The 22371-nt window shown below is 39.6% G+C and overlaps 1 annotated feature.

Annotated features, from left to right (window-relative positions):
• Positions 20700–21284: an enhancer, noted in NCBI's record as "OCT4-NANOG hESC enhancer chr14:25012881-25013465 (GRCh37/hg19 assembly coordinates)". NCBI's record gives its function as "activates a minimal SCP1, AML or CMV promoter by ChIP-STARR-seq in naive H9 embryonic stem cells {active_cell/tissue: H9 hESC(naive)}" and the evidence as "EXISTENCE:reporter gene assay evidence [ECO:0000049][PMID:30033119]".

The raw sequence follows: 22371 nt of genomic DNA, 5'->3' as shown, positions 1-22371 counted from the left end.
CTCATGAATGGTTTAGCACCATCACCTTTCTGATAAGTATCAGTTAGTTCACAAATGATCTGGTTGTTTAAAACAGTCTGGGACCTCCCCCTTCTCTCTTTCTTGCTCCTCCTCTCACCATGTGACATTCTGGCTCCCCTTCACCTTCCACCATGATTGTAAGCTTCCTGAGGCTCTCACCAGCAACAAATGCCAGCACTATGCTTCATATGTGGCCTGCAGAACTGTAAGCCAATTAAACCTCTTTTCTTTATAAATTATCCAGTCTCAAGTATTTTCATAGCAATGCAAGAACACACTAATGCTTCTAGTAATTTGGGGCTAAAAATAAGACACACTTAAGTGACTCTTGATCCCGTTATGTTCTTCTGAAAATGGGTTTTCCTTCAGATTTATTAGTCTGTTCTTGCATTGCTATACAGAAATACCTGGGTAATTTATAAATAGAAGAGGTTTAATTGGCTCACAGTTCTGTGGACTGTACAGGAAGTATGATGCTGGCATCTGCTCAGCCTCTGGGCAGACCTCAGGAAGCTTACAATCATGGCAGAAGGCAAAGGGGAAGCAAGGCATCTCACATGGTGGGAGCAGGAGCAAGGTATTGGAGGGGGGCGGTGCCACACACTTTTAAAAGACCAGATTTCAAGAGAACTCACTCACAATCATGAGGACAGTACCAAGTGGAATGGTGATAAATCATTTATGAGAAATCCACCCCCATGATCCAATTACCTCCTACCAGACCCCAACATTGATATCCTCCAACATTGAGGGTTACAATTAAGCATGATATTTGGGTGAGAACACAGATCCAAACCATGTCATTCCACTCCTGGACCCTCCCAAATCTCATGTCCTTCTCTCATTTCATAATATAATCATTCCTTTTCAACAGTCCTCCAAAGTCTTAACTCATTCCAGCATTAATTCAAAGGTCCAAATTCCCATCTGAGACAAAGCTACTCCTTTCCACCTATGAGCCTGTAAAATAAAATACAAGTTAGTTACTTCCAAGATACAATAAGCATACAGGCACTGAGTTAATACTGACATTCCAACAGGGAGAAAATGGCCTAAAGAAAGGGGCTACAGGCCCCATCAAAGTCTGAAGCCCCGAGGGCAGTCAGTAAATCTTAAAGCCCCAAAATAATCTCCTTTGACTCCATGTCCTACATCCAGGGCACACTGGTGTGAGGGGTGGATTCTCAAGGCCCTGGGCAGCTCCCCCACTGTGGCTTTGCAGGGTTACGCCTCCAAGGCTGTTCTCACAGCTCCTTTCACAGGCTGGCATTGACTGCCTGTGGCTTTTTCAAGTGCAGGGTGCAAGCTGTCAGTGGATCTACCATTCTGGTGTCTGGAGGATGGTAGCTCCCTTCTCATAGCTCCACTAGGCAGTGCCCCAGTGGGGACTCGGTGTGGAGCTCCAACTCCACATTTCCCCTCCCCACTACTGTAATAGGGGTGCTCCATAAGGGCTCTGTCCCTGCAGCAAGCTTCTACCTGGACACCCAGGCTTTTCCATACATCCTCTGAAATCTAGGTGAAGGCTCCTAAGCCTCAGCTCTTGTATCCTGCACACTTGCAGGATTAACACCACGTGGAATCTGCCAAGGCTTGCAGCTTGCACCCTCTGAAGCAGCAGCCCAAGCTGTACGACAGCCCGTCTGAACCATGGCTAGAACTAGAGCAGCTGGGATGCATGCAGCAGTGTCCTGAGGCTGCACAGGGTAGCAGGGCCTTGGGCCTGGCCCACAAAACCTGCTAGTCCTCAGGAAACACAATCATTGCCTTCCACCATGATTGTAAGTTTCTTGAGGCTTCCCCAGAAGTTGATGGGAGAAGGTGCCTCAAAGTTTTTTGAAATGCCTTCCAGGCCTTTTCTCCATTGTCCTGGCTATTAGCACTTGGCTCCTTTTGACTTATGCAAATTTCTGCAGTCTGCTTGAATTCCTCACCTGAAAATGCGCTTTTCTTTTCTACCACATGGCTAGGCTGCAAATGTTTCAAACTTTTATGCTCTGCTTCCCCTTTAAATATAACTTCCAACTTTAAGTCATTTATTTGCTTATGCATATGAGCACAGGCTGTTAGAAGCAGCAACAACACATCTTGAATGCTTTGCTGCTTAGACATGTCTTCCACCAGATACCCTAAATCATCACTCTTGAGTTCAAAGTTCCACAAATCCCTAGAGCAGGGGTATATTGCAGCCAAGTTCTTTGCTAAGGCATAACAAAAGTGACCTTTGCTCCATTTCCCAATAAGTTCCTCATCTCCATCTAAGACTTCATGAGCCTGGCCATCTCTGTCAATATCACTATCAGCATTTGAGTCACAACTACTCAACAAGTATCTAGGAAGTTTCAAATTTTCCCTTATCTTCCTGTCTTCTTCTGAGCCCTCCAAATTCTTCCAACCCCTTCCTGTTACTCAATTCCAAAGCTGCTTCCATATTTTCAGGAATCTTTATAGCAATACCCTGCACCTGGTACCAATTTTCTGTATTAGTTCATTCTTGCATTTGTATAAAGAAATACTGGAGGTTGGGTAATTTATAAAAGAAAAAGGTTTAATTGGCTCACAGTTCGACAGGCTGTATTTAAAAAAAAAGCATGATGCTGGCATCTATTTGGCTTCTGGGGAGGCCTCAGGAAACTCACAATCATGGCAGAAGGCAAACAGGGAGCAAGGCATCTCACATGGTGGGAGCAGGAGCAAGGCAGGAGGGGGTGTCGTACTCTTTTAAACCACCAGATCTTGTAAGAACTCACTCATGACCATGAGGAGAGTACCAAGTGATATGTTGCCAAACCATTTATGAGATATCCACCCCCATGATCCAATTAACTCCTGCTAGGCCCCTCCTTCATCCAGGTCCCACCAGGTGCCACCTCAATTGTAATTGAGGATTACAACTGAAAATAGAATTTGAGTGGGGACAAAAATCCAAACCATGTCATCAGGTAAAGACTTAGTCTGCCTGGACTCAAGACTATAAACTGTGTCTTCCTTGTGAAGTGCAGCAGCTGGTGTTTCTGTTTAGCTGCTGTTATGTAGCCTCACCCCATACAGTCTTCCCCATGCCATATGCAGTTTTGTGATCAGCTAGGAAAAGGACATAGTTCACATTCAAATTTGGGGGTCTTACCCCTTCTATAGGTCCCTGAGTTCTAGAATTCCCCTCTCCTTAAATTTCCAACTGCTCCACCAGCCCTAAATCCTGTCCTTTGCTATCTCAAGGCAATAATGCTACAACTTTTTTCTGTCATAGTGTAAAGGGATATGGCGTACTCTTAGGTAAAAATAGAAAGCACAAGTTGCTGTTCTTATCTGTCATGGTCATCTGTGACTCTCCTAAATTTCTGCCTGCTTTGTGTACTTTCCAGTGACTTCAAATACTTATTTTAAATATTTCTTTCCAGTTTTTACAATTATTGCTTGCAGGAATCTTTACCAAACCCCTTGACATTACCACCATTCTTGGAATTCCGTGTGCATGTATTTTTAATTAATAAAATTAATATTTTATGTAAGCCTCATAGCAGAAATTGGCTGTTGCCTAATATTCTAGAGTTTGCATTGCCACATTTTATTAATTCATCTTCCCATTTATAGACAACTTATTTTACCTCCAGCATCCAGAATCCACACAAAAACACGCTACAATAAGAATTTTTCTATACATCCCCTTGTAGGTCTGTGTGTGAACTTCTCTGAAACATTATGAGGACACAAACATGGGAAAAAATTCCAAGCTCATGGATAGGAAGAATCAATATCAATCAGTACTTCCAGTTTTGCCTATTCAGTATGATATTGGCTATGGATTTGTCATAAGTAGCTCTTATTATTTTGAGATATGTTCCATTTTACCTAGTTTATTGAGAGTTTTTAGCATGAAAAGGTGTTGAATTTTATCAAAGGTCTTTTCTGCATCTATTGAGATAATTATGTGCTTTTTGTCATTGGTCCTGTTTATGTGATGGATTACATTTATTGATTTGCATATGTTGAACCAGCCTTGCATCCCAGGGATGAAGCCAACTTGATCATGGTGGATAAGCTTTTTGATGTGCTGCTGGTTTTGGTTTGCCAGTATTTTAGTGAAGATTTTCACATTGATGTTCATCAGGGATATTGGCCTGAAATTACCTTTTTTTGTTGTGTTTCTGTCTATATATTTTCAACCATTCATGTTTCATGTCCTTTAAATTGTTTCATGAGCCTCTTGAACAGCCACTAATGGAGTTTGTAGGGAAGTTCGTGTACTATCCCAACCACCAGCTTGAATACTTGAGCACTATTCCCCAAGTAGCTAAAGCAACCATGGTCACCAAGCTACCCACCATCTGGGCTTGAATAAGAAAGAATATTACATTACCCTGGCTGTGCTTAGGCAACATTACTCTGGTCCCTAGCATGAAAAAGAAATAAATGTTTTTAAACTGCCTTGTCCAAAAAGGATAAGGGAATTTTAGATTTTCAAACAAGCCCTTGAAATGGAAATAATCAGAAAAACATCATAAATTCTTAGCCAATACACAATTGTTTCTGGAACAGATAATGGTGGTCAAGAGGGATCATTTCGATATAGGGGCCACCAAAATCCAGATCTGACATCACCGATCTCGTCATATTTGATGCAACTTCACATAACTACACAAGAGCTTAAAGTTAAAAGTCATTATGAAGACCATAGCAGAGTAGTTCTCTGCCTTGGCTGCACATTAAAACCACCTGAGTAGCTTTTAAAACTCCTAGTGTCAAGGCAATAACCCAGACCACTTGAATCAGAATTTCTGGAAATGGGACCTAGCCATCAGAAATTTTTTTAATTCCCCTATATGATTCCAATATGCAGCCAAGGTTGAGAGTTACTGTCCCAGCAGAAATTTACTCATATTTTTATCTTAGAAAACACATGCACAGAATAACCAACTGGTAGAGATATAATATGCAACACCTGACAAATGTGTTACTTCCCAATATAAAGCCCTATTTACAGTGTCACTGCAGGAGTGAAAGATGACCCTTATGTAGAAGAAGAAGTGAAAAACTAATCTAAAATTAATTAAATAGAAAATCCTGGTTCACTTTGTTATGATAGGCAAAGACTTTTTGAACATCTTGGATTCCTCCTTATAAAACCAAAATGAACAGAGTATTCGGAGAAGGAGTATTGGAAGCTGTGAGTTAGAGGAGTAGTGGAAGAAAAATCAACCATAAGGAAAAGCAAAACAAAAGAAAACACCACACATAAAAATGTATGCCTAAAAATTATAAACATGGTTTTATAAGTGTTGTTGGAATTCCTGACAGTTTTATAGAAGATGGAATAAGGAAGGTAGAAATCTATTGTGCCATGGCACCCATTTTTTCATTAACAAACAGCCACCCATTCTCTCATTTTGAAGAACATTTTCATTTTCATTCTGGCTAAAAGATGCATTCCACAGATGCATCCCGTGCATTGTTGGCACAGTGTCCCTAGGAATGAAGCAGACAGGCCACCCACTAAAGTACTGCTGACTTAAACAAAATAATTCTAGATCTGGAGGCAGAAATCTAAGCTGAGGCACCATGATATGGTTTTACTGCTGGTCCTTACCTCTAAATCAATTAAGAGACCTAGATCTCCTCAGTTGAAGAGGCAGGTGTCTTAACAGACACAGGTGTGTCCTGTAAATTTTGTTGTTGTTGTTGTTGTTATTATTTTGTTTTTTTGAGACAGAGTCTCACTCTGTCGCCCAGGCTGGAGTGCAGTGGCGCGATCTCGGCTCACTGCAAGCTCCGCCTCCCAGGTTCACGCCATTCTCCTGCCTCAGCCTGCTGAGTAGCTGGGACTACAGGCACCCGCCACCACGCCTGGCTAATTTTTTTGTATTTTTTTAGTAGAGACGGGGTTTCACCGTGTTAGCCAGGATGGTCTCTATCTCCTGACCTCGTGACCTGCCCTCCTCGGCCTCCCAAAGTGCTGGGATTACAGGCGTGAGCCACCGCGCCCTGCCAAATTTTCTTTAAGCTGACCGCAGAAGAGTTTGTGGACATTTACCATGGTGGATGAATACAGGCAAGAAGGAACCCCAGACCTTTCTAGGGTTGTTAACTATAGGCTCTGAACTTATGCCAGTCATAATTGCCACCATAGTTCCCTGGTCAGAATGGAGACAAATGAAGGTCAGGAGATGCATTACTTTCTTATTGCTGCTTAACAAATTACCACAGACTTAATGACTTAACACAAATATGTTATCTTACAGTTCCAAGCTCACAAGTCCATAATCAGTATCAGTAGGCTAAAATCGAGGTGTCAGCAGAGCTGTGTTCCTTTTGAAAGCTCTAGGGAATATTCTATTTCCCCACATTTTCTATCTTCAAGAGGCCCCCTGCGTTCTTGGCTCATGGCCCCTTCCATCTTCAAAGCCAGCAATGACATCATTCTGGCCTCTGCTTCCATCCCCACATTTCCTTTGGGTCCGACTCTTCTATCTCCCTCTTACAATGACTCTTGTGATTTGGCCCACCTAGATAATCCAGGATAATCCTCCCATCTCAGTATGTTTAACTTAATCACATCTGCAAAGTCCCTTTTGCCATATAAGGTAGCATATTCATGGGTTCTTAGGATTAGAATGTGGACACCTTTGAGGGGCCATTGTTCAACCTACCACAGATGTCCATGTCATAGTAAACCCACTGGGACCACTCAGTCATCAAGTGGTTATTGTCTAGTGTTGCCAGATGTAGCAAATAAAAATACAAGACATCCGGTTAAACTTGCAATTCAGAAAAACAACAAATTTTTTTTTTGTATAAGTGTATCTTGTGCAATATTTTACATACTTGGGACATACTTATATTCAAACATTTTGTTGTTTATCTGAACTTCAATTTTAATTGAGCATTCTATTTTTATCTGGCAATCTACCCAGAGTGTCTGGTAAGAATAAACAAGCACAGTAACAGACAAAATTCCCACTTTGCTTTGCCAAATGGTAGAATAAGGGTTATTATGATAAGAAGCATCCAGAACAATCCCCACCCCACAAGATGTTAAAGTGAAAGCAAACTGCATCTCTGGGAAATCCCAAAGAAAAATGTTATCATTGAAGACTTAGAAGATACAAGGTTGGTGATTTCTACCACATCCCCATTTGTATCACCTATACAGCTTTAGAAAGCCACAAGCATCTTAGAAAATGACTATGGATTCTCTCTTCTTAATCAGATGACAATGAAAATCACAACTGTGGTCCCAGATGCTGTATTGTTAATGAAACAAATCCACCCAACCCTTGGTACCTAATAGGAATATATTGATCCAGAACGATCAGTTTTTAAAATTATTATCAACAAGGATCACCAAAAGCAGTTTGCCTTCCACCGGTAGGGACAAAAATAAAACTTGTCTTATATCAGTGCTATGTCAAGTCACCTACATGTTGTCACAATATCATCGAGAAATCATTATCCTGATATCCCACAGAACACACCTCTGGTTCATTATATGGATGACATTATTCTACTTGAAAATGGTAAATAGGAAAATTCAAGCATGCTAGATGTCTTAGTAAGACTCACACATATCAGGGGATAGAGAAGAGCCCTGTGAACATTCTGAGGCAGACAATATCAGTGAAGTTTCTAATATTCTGGTAATGTGGAGCATGTAAAGTATCTCCTCTAAACTTACAGACAAGTTGGTGCACCTTACAACATCTACCACAAAAAGAAGGACAAAGTGGACTTCTTGGGGTTTTGAAATAACATATACCATATTTGGGCATGCTGCTATTACCCATTTACTCAGTAATCGGCAAGGCTACCAGTTTTGAGTGGGGTCCAGAGTAAAAACAGCTTTACAACCATCCAGGCTGTAGGGAAACTGTCCTCCCACCACAGCCTCATGACCGGAAGATACAATAGCATTAGAAGTACCTGAGACAGGCAGAGTTGTTTTTACAGAGAAGCTGGCAAGCTATAGTAGGAAAACCACAGCTGAGATGCCATGGGGATAACGTCATGCCATCTTCTACTACTTCTATTTAAAAAGTAACTCCTGTCTGACTACTGAAAGAGAATAAATGCCTGGCCATGGGACATTGTGATGGTTAATTTGGTATGTTAACTTAGCTGGGCCGTGGGGTGCCTATGTATGTGGTCAAACATTATTCTGGGTGTTTCTGTGAAAGTATTTGTGGATAAAATTAATATTTGAATTGGCATACTGAATAAAACAGAGTTTCCTCTCTAATGTGGGTGGGCCTGACTCAAACAAAAAGGCTGATTTTCTCAAACAGAAGAAGGAATTCCTCCTGCCTGACTGCTTTGAACTGGGACATCAGTCTTATCTGGCCTTCAGACTCAAACTGAAATATCATCTCTTTTTGAGTCTCAAGCTTGCCAGCTTTTAAGCTGGATCTTGTACCATCAGCTTTCCTTCATTCTCAGACCATCAAACTCAGACTTAAACTACACATTGCCTCTCCTGGGTCTCCAGCTTGCTAAACGGATCTTGCCAACTGCAGGGTCTTCTCAGCCTTCATAATTACATGAGCCAATTTCTTACACTAAATATATGTGTGTGAGTGTGTGTGTGCGTGTATATATATATATATATATATATATATATATATATATATATATGATATTTATATTGATTCTGTTTCTCCAGAGAACCCTGACTAATATAGACACCAAATGACTATGTGACTGAACTGCCCATTATTAATGTTGGATTATCTTATTCAGTAAATTATGAAATTGATTTTGCTCAATAGCATCCTATTATTAAGTAGAAAGGTTAATTATGAGACTAGGCCTGAGCAGGCTGGAAAACACAGGTAAACTCCATGAGCTAGTAGTTCAAAATCCCTTTGTACTTCAACACTTCTTCCTCAACCTATACCTGTAGGGAGTTCCCTATGATCAACTAACTAGTGGAAAATGAAAAGGCATGATTCTGGTTTACAGATGGCATTAAAACTATATCATTCCACCTTTGGTCCCCCAAATATCATGTCTTTCTCATATTTCAAAATATTATATATATATGTATATATATATAATAATCTCTTCCCAATAGTCCCCCCAAATCTTAGCTCATTTCAGTATTAATTCAAAAGTTCCAAATCCAAAGCTTAAAAATCTCATCTGGAAATAAGTTCCTTCCTCCTATAAGCCTGTGAAATCAAAACAAGTTGTCTATTTTCAAGATACAATGGGGGTACAGGCATTGAGCAAACATTCCTGTTTCAAAAGGGAGAAATCAGCCAAAAGAAAGGAAATACAGGTCCCACACAAGTCTGAAGCCAAGCAGGACAATCATCAAATCTTAAAGCTCCAAAATAATCTTTGATTCCATGTCCCATATCCAGGACACACTGCTGCAAGAAGTGGCCTTCTAAAACTTTGTGCAGCTCAACCCCTATATCTCAGCAGAATACAGCCCACACAACTGCTCTCACAGGTTGGAGTTGAGTGCCTGAAGATTTTCTTGGCGCAAGGTGCAAACTGTTGGTGGATTTACTATTCTAAGGTCTGGAAAATGGTAGCCTTTTTCCCCCAGCTCCACTAGGCAGTGCACCATGGCAAACTTTATTTAGGGCCTCAAATCCTACATTCCTCCTCTGCATTGTCCTAGGAGAGGTTCTTTTTGAGGGCTTCACACCTGGAGAAGACTGGGTGCCCAGTCTTTCTTATACATTTATACATTCTCTGAAATCTAGGCAAAGGATACGAAACCTCCTTCGTTCTTGCACTCTGCAAGACTGCAGACTTAACACCACATAGAAGCCACCAAGTCTCATGGCTCACACCCAGTGAAGCAGTATCCCAAACTGTATCTGAGCCCCTTGGAGCCAAGGATAGAGCTGGATCAGACTGAATGCAAGCAACAGTGTCCCAGAGCAGAGCAGTGAAGGACCAGGCATTGGCTACAAAACCATTCTTTCTTCCTAGGCCTCAGGGTCTGTGATGGGAGGGGCTGCCTCAGAAAGCTTTCAGAGCCTTCAAGCCCTTGTTCCCGTCATCTTGGCTATGAGCACTTGGCTCCCTTTTGTTTTTTGTTTTTTGTTTTTTGTTTTGAGATGGAGTCTTGCTCAGTTGCCCAGGCTGGAGTGCAGTGGCACGATCTCGGCTCACTGCAAGCTCCACCTCCCGGGTTCATGCCATTCTCCTGCCTCAGCCTCCCGAGTAGCTGGGACTACAGGCACCTGCCACTATGCCTGGCTAATTTTTTGTATTTTTAGTAGAGATGGTGTTTCACCATGTTAGCCAGGATGGTCTCGATCTCCTGACCTCGTGATCCACTTGTCTCGGCCTCCCAAAGTGCTGGGATTACAGGTGTGAGCCACCGCACCTGGCCTTGGCTGCCTTTTAGTCATGCAAATGTTTCTAGCAAGTGGTTGCTCCACAACCAGCTTGAATTCCTCTCCTGAAAAAGCTTTTTCTTTCTTTGCCATGTGGTTAGGCTGCAAATATTCCAAACTTTAACACTCTGCTTCCCCTTTAAATATAACTTCCAACTTTAAATCATTTATTCACTCTCACATATGAGATAGGCAGTTAGATGCAGCCACACCACATCTTGAATGCTTTGCTGCTTACAAATTTCTTCCACCAGTTACCCTAAGTCATCACTCTAAAGTTCAAATTTCCACAGATCCCTAGCACATGAACACAATACAGCCAAGTTCTTTGCTAAGGCATAACAAGGGTGACTTTTGCTCCAGTTCCCAATAAGTTCCTCACTTACATCTGAGACCTCATCAGCCTCGACTTTACTGTCCATATCACTATTGGCATTTTGGTCATAACCATTTAACCAATCTCTAAGAAGTTCCAAATTTTTCCTCATCTTTCTGTCTTCTGAGCCCTCCAAAATCTTCCAAGCTCTGCCTATTACCCAGTTCCGAAGGTAATTCCACATTTTCAAGTAACATTATAGCCTTGTTACCAATTTTCTATGTTAGTAAGGTTTTTGACTCTAGTCCCTTACTCATGGACTACACCTCTGGATCCACTCAGGGCTGGGAAAACCTTGCTACCCTGAAGGGAAGCACATAGGCCTGGCTTGCTTTGCCACTGGCTGGTTGTAGAGTCTAAGGACCTTGATCAAACATAGGCAGTAGCCAAGGAGTGGTTACAGCAGGCCTTGGGTGAGATCCAGTGCCGCGCTGGCTTCAGATTTGACCCTGTGTAGTCATAGAGGTGATGCCCACAGGGGTGCTTGTGTCACACCACCTCCAGGTGTAGGAGGCTCAGAATAGAGAGACTGTGTTTGTTTGGGAGAAAGTAAGGGAAGAGAACAAGAGTCTCTGCCTGGGAAATTCAGAAAATGCTCCCAGACTTGTCCAAGACCATCAAGGCAGTAACTCTACAAGTCTGCAAGAACCCCAGTGTTACAGGGCTTAGGATGCCCCCTAAAGCAGATACAGTTTATATCACAACACGCAAGTCCTTTCAAGTATCTGGAAAGACTTCCCAAGAAGGACTGCTAAAAATGAGCCCAGACAGTAAAGACTACAATAAATACCTAACCCTTGAATGCCCAGACACTGAAGAACATCTAAGCATCAGCACCATCCAGGAAAAAATGACCTCACCAAAAAACTAAGCCACCAGAGATCAATCCTGTCAAAACAGAGATATGTGACCTTTCAGACAGACAATTCATAACAGCTGTGTTGAGAAAACTCAAAGAAATTGAAGATAACACAGAGAAGAAATTATATCAAATAAATTTATCAAAGAGATTGAAATAATTTAAAATAATAAAGCAGAAATTCTGGGGCTAAAAAATGCAATTGGCATACTGAAGAATGTGTTAGTCCTTTAATAGCAGAATTGATCAAGCAGAAGAAAAATTAGTGAGCTTGAAGACAGGATATTTGAAAATACACAATCAGGGGAGACAAAAGAAAAAATAGTTTAAAAAACAATGAAACACACCTAAAGGATTTAAAAACAGTCTCTAAAGGGAAAATCTAAGAGTTCTTTGCCTCAAAGAAAAGATAGAGAAACAGATAGGGGTAGAAATTTTATTCAAAGGGATAATGACAGAGAGAATTTCAAACCTAGAGAAAAATATCAATATCCAAGTGCAAGTAGGTTATAGAACACCAGGTAGATTTAACCCAAAGACGACTACCTCAAGGCATTTAAGAATCAAACTTCCAAAGGTCAAAGATAAAGAAATGATCCTAAAAGCAGCAAGAGAAAAGCCGCAAATAACATACAATGAAGCTCCAACACATCTGGCAGCAGACTTTTCAGTGGAAACCTTACAGGCCAGAAGAGAGTGGCATTAGATAATTAAAGTACTGAAGAAAAAAAACTTTTACCCTAGAAGAGTATATCTGGTAAGAACATCCTTTAAACATGAAGGAAAAAAGACTTTCCCAGATAAACAAAGCTAAGAAATTCCATCAACACCAGAAATGTCCCAAAAGAATTCTAAAGGCAGTACTTCAACCAGAAACCAAATGACATTAATGGGCAATAAGGAATCATCTGAAACTACAAGACTTACTGGTTTTTTGTTTTTTGTTTTTTGTTTTTCTTTTTTTTAATTATTATTATACTTTAAGTTTTAGGGTACATGTGCACAATGTGCAGGTTAGTTACATATGTATACATGTGCCATGCTGGTGTGCTGCACCCATTAACTCGTCATTTAGCATTAGCTATATCTCCCAATGCTATCCCTCCCCCCTCCCCCCACCCCACAACAGTCCCCAGAGTGTGATGTTCCCCTTCCTGTGTCCATGTGTTCTCATTGTTCAATTCCCACCTATGAGTTAGAATATGCGGTGTTTGGTTTTTTGTCCTTGTGATAGTTTACTGAGAATGATGATTTCCAATTTCATCCATGTCCCTACAAAGGACATGAACTCATCATTTTTTATGGCTGCATAGTATTCCATGGTGTATATGTGCCACATTTTCTTAATCCAGTCTATCATTGTTGGACATTTGGGTTGGTTCCAAGTCTTTGCTATTGTGAATAGTGTCGCAATAAACATACGTGTGCATGTGTCTTTATAGCAGCATGATTTATAGTCCTTTGGGTATATACCCAGTAATGGGATGGCTGGGTCAAATGGTATTTCTAGTTCTAGATCCCTAAGGAATCGCCACACTGACTTCCACAATAGTTGAACTAGTTTACAGCCCCACCAACAGTGTAAAAGTGCTCCTATTTCTCCACATCCTCTCCAGCACCTGTTGTTTCCTGACTTTAAAAAAAAAAAAAAAAACTTACTGGTAATGGTAAGTATACAAAAAACACAGAATATTAAAACACTATAACTGTGGTGTGTAAACCACTCTTATCCTAAGTAGAAAGATCTAAGGATGAACCAATCAAAAATAATAACAACAACCTTTCAAGACATAGTACAATAAGATATAAATGGAAACAACAAAAAGTTTAAAAGTGGGAGGGGGTGAAGTTAAGGCATAGAGCTTTAATTAGTTTACTCTTTATTTGTTTGTTTATGCAAACAGTGTTAAGTTGTTATAAGGTTTAAATGATGGGTTATAAGATGGTATTTTCAAGCCTCATAGTAACCTCAGGCCAAAAGACATACAATGGATACACAAAAAATAAAACAAGAAAATAAATCATATTTCCAGAGAAAATCACCTTCACTAAAGGAAGACACAAAAGAAAGAAAGAAAAAGAAGAAGACTACAAAACAACCAGAAAATAAAGTTGTAAGGACTTACTAGTCAATAATAACATGGAATGAAAATAAACTAAACTCATTAATCAAAAGACAGACTGACTGAATGGCTAAAAAACAAGACCCATTGATCTGTTGCCTACAAGAAACACACTTCACCTGTAAAGACACACATAGACTGAAAATTAAGGGATGGAAAAAGATATTCATGCCAATGGAAACCAAAAAAGAGCAGGAATTTCTATACTTATATCAGAAAAAATATATTTCAAGACAAAAACTATAAGAAAAGACAAAAATTTCACTACATAATGATAAGGGGGTCAATTCAGTAAGAGGATATAACAATTCTAAATACATATGCACCCAACACTGGAGCACCCAGATATATAAAGCAAATATTATTAGAGCTAAAGAGAGAGACAGACCCCAGTACAACAATAGCTGGAGACTTCAACATGTCACTTTCAGCATTGGACAGATCTGCCAGACAGAAAATCAACAAAGAAACATCAAACTTAATAATAACTGTAGAACCCAGTGGATCTAATAGATATTTATGGTACATTTCATCCAATGCTCACAAAATACACTTTCTTTTTCTCAGCATATGGATGATTCTCAAGGATAGACCATATGTTAAGTCACAAAACAAGTCTTAAAACATTCAAAAAATTGAAATAATATCAAGCGTCTTCTCTAACCACAGTGACATAAAACTATAAATTAATAACAAGAGGAATTTTGGAAACTATGTAAATACATGGAAATTAAACAACATGCTCCTGAATGACCAGTGGGTCAATGAAGAAATTAAGAAGAAAATTGAAAAAAAAATTTTTGAAACTAATAATAATGGAAACAAAACATAACAAAACCTGTGGGCTACAGCAAAAGCAGTACTAAAAGAAAAGTTTATGCCTATAAGTACCTACATCAAAAAAAGGAAAATCTTCAAATAAACAATTTAATGATGCATCCTAAAGAATTAGAAAAACAAGAGCAAACCAAATCCAAAATTAGTAAAAGAAAAGAAATAATAAAGATCAGAGCAGAAATAAATGAAATTAAAATGAAACAACAATACAAAACATCAGTGAAACAAAAAGTTGGTTTTTTAAAAAGTTAAACAAAATTGACAAATTCTTAGCCAGGCTGACTAAGAAATAAATGAGAGAAGATACAAATAAATAAAATCAGAAAAGAAAAAGCAACATTACAGCTGATACCACAGAAATTCAAAGGATCATTAATGGCTACTATCAGCAACTATATGCCAATAAACTTGAAAATCTGGAAGAAATGGACAAATTCCTAGACATGTACAACCACCAAGAGTGAATCAGGAAGAAATCCAAAACGTGAACAGGCCAATAACAAGTCACAAGATCGAAGCCATAATGAAAAGTTTCTCATAAAGAAGAGCCTGAGACCCAATGGCTTCACTGCTGAATTGTACCAACAATTATATAAGAACTAATACCAATCTTAATCAAACTATTCCTAAAAATAGAGGAGGAGGGAATACTTCCAAACTCATTCTATGAGACGAGTATTACCCCAATACCAAAACTAGACAAATACTGATCAAAAGGAGAAAACCACGGCCAATATCTCTAATGAATATTGATATGGTTTGGCTATGATATGGTTTCCCCACACAAATCTCATCTTGAATTCCCATGTGTTGTGGGAGGGACCTAGTGAGGGGTAATTGAACCATGGGGGCAGGTGTTTCCTGTGCTGTTCTCATAATAGTGAATAAGTCTCATGAGATCTGATTATTATATAAGGGGGATTTTCCCTGCACAAGATCTTTTTGCCTGCCACCATCCATGTAAGTTGTGACTTGCTCCCCCTTGCCTTCCACCATGATTGTGAGGCCTCCCCAGCCATGTGGAACTGTAAGTCAATTAAACCTCTTTCTTTTGTAAATTTCCCAGTCTCAGGTATGTCTTTATCAGCAGTGTGAAAATGGGGAAATAGAGTAAATTGGTACCAGGAATGGGGTGCTGATCAGAAGATACCCAAAAATGTGGAGGCAACTTTGTAACTGGGTAACAGGCAAAGGTTAGAACAATTTGGAAGGCTCAGAAGACAGGAAAATATGGGAAAATTTGGAATTCCCTAGCGACTTGTTGAATGGCTTTGACCAAAATGCTGATAATGTTATAGACAATGAAATCCAGGCTGAGGTGCTCTCAGATGGAAATGAAGAACTTGTTGGGAACTGGAACAAAGGCAACTTTTGTGATGTTTTAGCAAAGAGACTGGCAGAATTTTGTCCCTGCCCTAGAGATTTGTAGAACTTTGAACTTGAGAGAGATGATTTAGGGTATCTGGTGGAAGAAATTTCTAAGCAGCAAAGCATTCAAGGAGTGATTTGGGTGCTGATAAAGGCATTCAATTTTAAAAGGGAAAAGAGCATAAAAGTTTAAAAAAATCATAGCCTGACAATGCAATATAAAGGAAAATCCCATTTTCTGAGGAGAAATTCAAGCCAGCTGCAGAAATTTGCATAAGTAATGAAGTGCCAAATGTTAATCCCCAAGACAATGAGGAAAATGTATCCTGGACATGTCGAGGTCGTCACAAGAGCCACTCCAATCACAGGCCCAGAGGCCTAGGAGGAAAAAGTGGTTTTGTGAACCAGGCCCAGAGTCCCCATGCTGTGTGCAGCCTAAGGACTTGGTGCCCTCCATCCCAGCTGCTCCAGCCATGGCTGAGAGAGGTCAACACAGAGCTTGTGCTGTGGCTTCAGAGGGTGCAAGCCTCAAGCCTTGGCAGATTCCATGTGGTTTTGGGCCTGCAAGTGCACAGAAATCAAGAATTGAGGTTTGGGAACCTCCAGCTAAGTTTCAGAAGATGTATGGAAACACCTGGATGTCCAGGCAGAAGTTTGTTGCAGGGCAGGGCGCTCATTGAGAACCTCTGCTAAGGCAGTGGAGAAGGGAAATGTGGGGTCAGAGCCCCCACACAGAGTCCCTACTGGGGCACCACCTAGTGGAGCTGTGAGAAGAGGGCCACTGTCCTCCAGACTCCAGAATGGTAGATCAACTGACAGCTTGCACTGTGTGCCTGGAAAAGCTACAGACACTCAATGCCAACCCATGAAAGCAGCCAGGAGTGGGGGCTATACCCTGCAAAGACACAGGGGAAGAGCTGCCCAAGGCCATGGGATCCTGTCTCTTGCATCAGGATGACCTGCATGAGAGACACAGAGTCAAAGGAGATCATTTTGGAGTTTTAATATTTGATCGCCCTGCTGGATTTTGGACTTGCATATGGCCCATAGCCCCTTTGTTTTGGCCAATTTCTCCCATTTGAAATGGTTGTATTTACCCTATGACTGTACCCTCATTGTATCTGGGAAGTAACTAATTTGCTTTTGATTTTACAGGCTCACAGGTGGAAGGGACTTGCCTTGTCTCAGATGAGACTTTGGACTGTGGACTTCTGAGTTAATGCTGAAATGAGTGAAATGAGTTAAGACTTTGGGGGTCTGTTGGGAAGGCATGATTGGTTTTGAAATGTGAGGACATGAGATTTGGGAGGTGCCAGGGGCAGAATGTATGGCTTGGCTGTGTCCCCACCCAAATATCATCTTGAATTTCCATGTGTTGTGGGAGGGACCCAGTGGGAGGTAATTGAATCATGGGGGCAGGTCTTTCCTGTGTTGTCATGTGATAGTGAATAAGTCTCATGAGAGTTAATGATTATATAAAAGGAAATTTCCCTGCATAAGCTCTCTTTGCCTGCTGCCACCCACATAAGATGAGATGTGCTCCTCCTTGCCTTCCGCCATGATGGTTAGGCCTCTCTAGCCATGTGGAACTCTTAAGTCCATTAAACCTCTTTCTTTTGTAAATTGCCCAGTGTTGGGTATGTCTTTATTAGCAATGTGAAGATGGACTAATACAAATATTGATATAAAAAATTCTCAACAAAATATAATAAATCAAACTCAAAAATATATTAGAAAGATCATTCATCATGACTAAGTGGGATTTATCCCCAGGATGCAAGGATAGTTAATATACACAAATCAATCAATATGACATCACATCAAAGAATGAAGGACAAAAAACATATGATCTTTTCAATTGATGCTTTAAAAAAAAGCATTTGATAAAATTTAATGTCTCTTCATGATAAAAAAAACACCCAAGAAAATGGGATAGAAGGAACATACCTCAACATAATAAAAGCCATATATGACAAACCCACAGTTAGTATCATACGGCATGAGGAAAAACTGAAAGCCTTCTAAGATCTGGAACACAACAAAGATGCTTATTTCCACCATTGTTATTCAACTTAGTACTGGAAGTCCTAGCTAGAGCAATTAGACAAGACAAAGATAAAAGGCATACAAATCAGAAAGGAAAAAGTCAAATTATCCTTGTTTGCAGATGATATGATCTTATATTTAGAAAAACCTAAAGACTCTACCAGAAAACTATTACAGCTGATAAATTCAGTAAAGTTGCAGGATACAAAATCAACCTACAAAAATCAGTAGTATTTCTTTATGACAACAGTGAACAATCTGAAAAAGAAATTAAAAAGTAATCCCATTTACAATAGCCACACATAAAATTAAATACCTAGGAATTAACTTAACCCAGGAAGTGAAGGATATCTGTAATAGAAACTATAAAACATTGATGAAAGAAATTGAAACGAGTTACTGGGTTCAGCACACCAACATGGCACACGTATACATATGTAACTAACCTGCATGTTGTGCACAGGTACTGTGAAACTTAAAGTATAATTAAAAAAAAAAAAAGAAATTGAAAAGGACACAAAAATGGAAAAATATTCCATGTTTATAGATTAGAATAATCAGTGTTGTTAAAATGTCCATACTACCCAAAGGATTATACAGATTCAATGCAATCCCTGTCAAAATACCAAAGACATTCATCACAGAAATAGAAAAAATCAATCCCAAAATTTATGAAGAACCAACAAAGACCCAGAATAACCAAAGCTATCCTAAGCCAAAAGAATAAAACTGGAGGAATCACTTTACCTGACTTCAAATTAGACTACAGTGCTATAGTAACCAAAACAGCATGGTACTGGCATTAAAATATGCACATAGACCAATGGACAAGACTAGAGAACCCAGAAACAAATCCACACACCTATAGTGAACTCGTTTTCAACAAAGGTACCAAGAACATGCACTAGAGAAAAGACAGTCTCTTCAATAAATGGTGCTGGGAAAATTGGATATCCATATGCAAAAGAATAAAATTAGACCCCTATCTCTCACCATATACAAAAATAAAATCAAAATGGATTAAATACTTAAATCTAAGACCTTAAACTATGAAACTACTACAAGAAAACATTGCGGAAATTATCCAGGACATTGGTCTTGGCAAAAATTTCTTGAGCAATACCCCACAAGCACAGGCAACCAAAGCAAAAGTGGACAAATGGGACCATATCAAGTTAAAAAGCTTCTGCACAGCAAGGGATACAATCAACAAAGTGAAGAGACAACCCACAAAATGGGAGAAAATATTTGCAAACTACGTATCTGACTGGGGATGAACAACCAGAATATATAAGGAGCTCAAACAACTCTATAGGAAAATATCTAACAATCTGATAAAAAAAAAAGTGGGCATAAGTTTGAATAGACATTTCTCAAAAGAAGACATACAAATGGCAAACAGCTATATGAAAAGGTGTTCAACATCATTATTCATCAGAGAAATGCAAATAAAAACTACAATGAGATATCATCTCACTCCAATTAAAATGGCTTGTAACAAAAAGACAGGCAATAACAAATGCCGGTGAGGATGTGGAGAAAAAGGAACCCTTGTATACCATTGGTGAGAACGTAAATTAGTATAACCACTATGGAGAACAGTTTGGAGGTTCCTCAAAAACCTAAAAATTGAGCTACCATATGATCCAACAATCCCATTGCTGGGTATATACTCAAAAAAAAAAAGAAAGAAATCATTATAATGAAGAGATATCTGCATTCCCATGTTTGTTGCAGCACTGTTCACAATAGATAAGATTTGGAAGCAACCTAAGTGTCCATCAGCAGATGAATGGATAAAGAAAATGTGATACATATACACAATGAAGTACTATTCAGCCACAAAAAAAGAATGAAATTTAGTCATTTGCAGTGACATGGATGGAACCAGAGATCATTAAGTGAAATAAGCCAGGTACAGAAAGAAAAACATCACATGTTCTCATTTATTTGTGGGATCTAAAAATCAAAACAACTGAACTCATGGACATAGAAAAAAGAAAGATGATTACCAGAGGCTGAGAAGAGGGGACAAGGAGGAGGTGGGGATGGTTAATGTACCAAAAACATAGAATAAATAAATAAGACCTGCTGTTTGATAATGCAATAGGGTTACTATAGTCAACAATAACTTTATTGTGCATTTCTAAATAACTTAAAGAATAATTGCATTGTTTGTAACTCAAAGGATGAATGTTTGAGGAGGATGGATATCCCATTCTCCATGATGTGCTTATTTCACATTGCAGGTCTGTATCAAAATATCTCATGTACTCTACAAATATACACACCTACTATGACCCACAAAAATTTTTAAAAAGGAAGACCTAAGGAACCAACCTTGGGTTAAGATGAGGTTTAATGGATATTTTGTAGACATACATGTGCCTTCAGAGGGGAAATATATAAACTATAAGATCAAATGTCTTCCTAATTGAGAGCTAAATCAGAATCATAAGAAATTAACTAGGTAACTTAAAATTGCCCATCTGATAGTCAGCGACATTGTTCCTCAGCATCAACCCAGGCTTTTTTAACAAGTGGCTAAATTTTAAAATGAACTAAATACCTAAATGTTGGGAAGATTTAGTGCTCTTAAATCTGTATCTCTTGAATTTGGAAGAAATCAGAGTCTCACACAGAGTTTTTACATGAAAGAGGGACTTTGTTTTGCTAAGTATAAATATTTGCAATGAAAGAAATCAGACCAGCTTGGAAATACCATGCAAACTTGTATCAGGGAACCTGCCCCGATAGTCACGTAGGTTCTTTTCTATTTTCCCTAAGCATCAGCCAGTTTGAGAAACAAAGGGACAGAGTACAAAAGAGAGAAATTTTAAAGCTGGGCATCTGGGGGAGACATCATATGTTAGTAGGTTCCATGATGCCCCCCAAGCCACAAAACCAGCAAGTTTTTATTAGGGATTTTCAAAAAGGGAGGGAGTATATGAATAGGGTGTGGGTCACAGACATCAAGTACTTCACAAGGTAATAGAATATCACAAGGCAAATGGGGGCAGGGCAAGATCACAGGACCACAGGACCAGGGTGAAATTAAAATTGCTAATGAAGTTTCAGGCACCATTGTCATTGATAACATCTTATCAGGAGACAGGGTTTTGAGAGCAACCCGTCTGCCCAAAAGTTATTAGGTGGGAATTTCCTCTTCCTAATAAGCCTGGAAGTGCTATGGGAGACTGGGGTCTATTTCACGCCTATAGTCTATAGACCATAAAAGACAGGCACGCCCAGGGGGGCCATCTGTAGACCTATACCCCCAGGTGCATGTTCTCTTTCCCAGGGATGTTCCTTGCTGAGAAAAAGAATTCAGTGATATTTCTCCCGTTTGCTTTTGAAAGAAGAGAAATATGGCCCTGTTCCACCTGGCTCACCAGCCGGTGGTCAGAGTTTAAGGTTATCTGTCTTATTTCCTGAACAATTGCTGTTATCCTGTTCTTTTTTCAAGGTGCCCAGATTTCATATTGTTTAAACACACATACTCTACAATTTGTGCAATTAATGCAATTATCACATGGTCCTGAGGCGACATACATCCTCCTTGGTTTACGTGATGACAGGATTAAGAGATTAAAGTAAAGACAGGCCTAGGAAATCACAAGGGTGGTGATTGGGGAAGTGATAAGTGTCCATGAAATCTTCACAATTTATGTTTAGAGATTGCAGTAAAGAGAGGCATAAGAAGTTATAAAATATTAATTTGGGGAACTAATAAATGTCCATGAAATTTTCAAAATCCACATTCTTCTGCCATGGCTTCAGTCAGTCCCTCCATTTGGGGTCCCTGACTTCCTGCAGCAAACTTGAAAGCACAATTTTTATAGCACATCCACATTATAAATCAACTTAGTTCCAATTCTGACCAGCTCTTCATATAAGGAGCCGTAGGAGAAAACAAATGCACTTCCTGTACTAGTGTTTGTGTGAAATAAAGGATCTTAACAAGTATTAATTCATCTATAAAGGAGTAGAATTTTATATAGATGGTGCTCTAAAAAAAAAAGTTGGGGGGTATGGATTAGGAATCACCCTTGGGGTCTGGTTGGCAAAATGAAAGAACAAGGTTTAGGCAGGGAAAAAAATCTGTTTGGCCATTCTTCCATTGCTATAAAGAAATACCTGAGACTGGAAATTTCCTAAAGAAAAGAGGCTTAATTGGCTCACAGTTCTGCAGACTGTACAAGCATGCCATTAGCATCTGCTCAGCTTCCGGGGAGGTCTCATGGAGCTTTTACTTGTGATGGAAGGTGAAGTGGGAGCAGGCAAGTCACATGGGGAGAGCAGGAACAAGAGAGAGAGGGGAGGGAGGTGCCACACACTTTTAAACAACCAGATCCCACAAGAACTCACTCACTATTGCAAGAACAGCAACAA

The sequence above is a fragment of the Homo sapiens genome, chromosome 14, assembly GCF_000001405.40.
Source record: "Homo sapiens chromosome 14, GRCh38.p14 Primary Assembly".
Lineage (NCBI taxonomy): Eukaryota > Metazoa > Chordata > Mammalia > Primates > Hominidae > Homo > Homo sapiens.
This window is presented reverse-complemented; position numbering and strand designations above follow the sequence as displayed.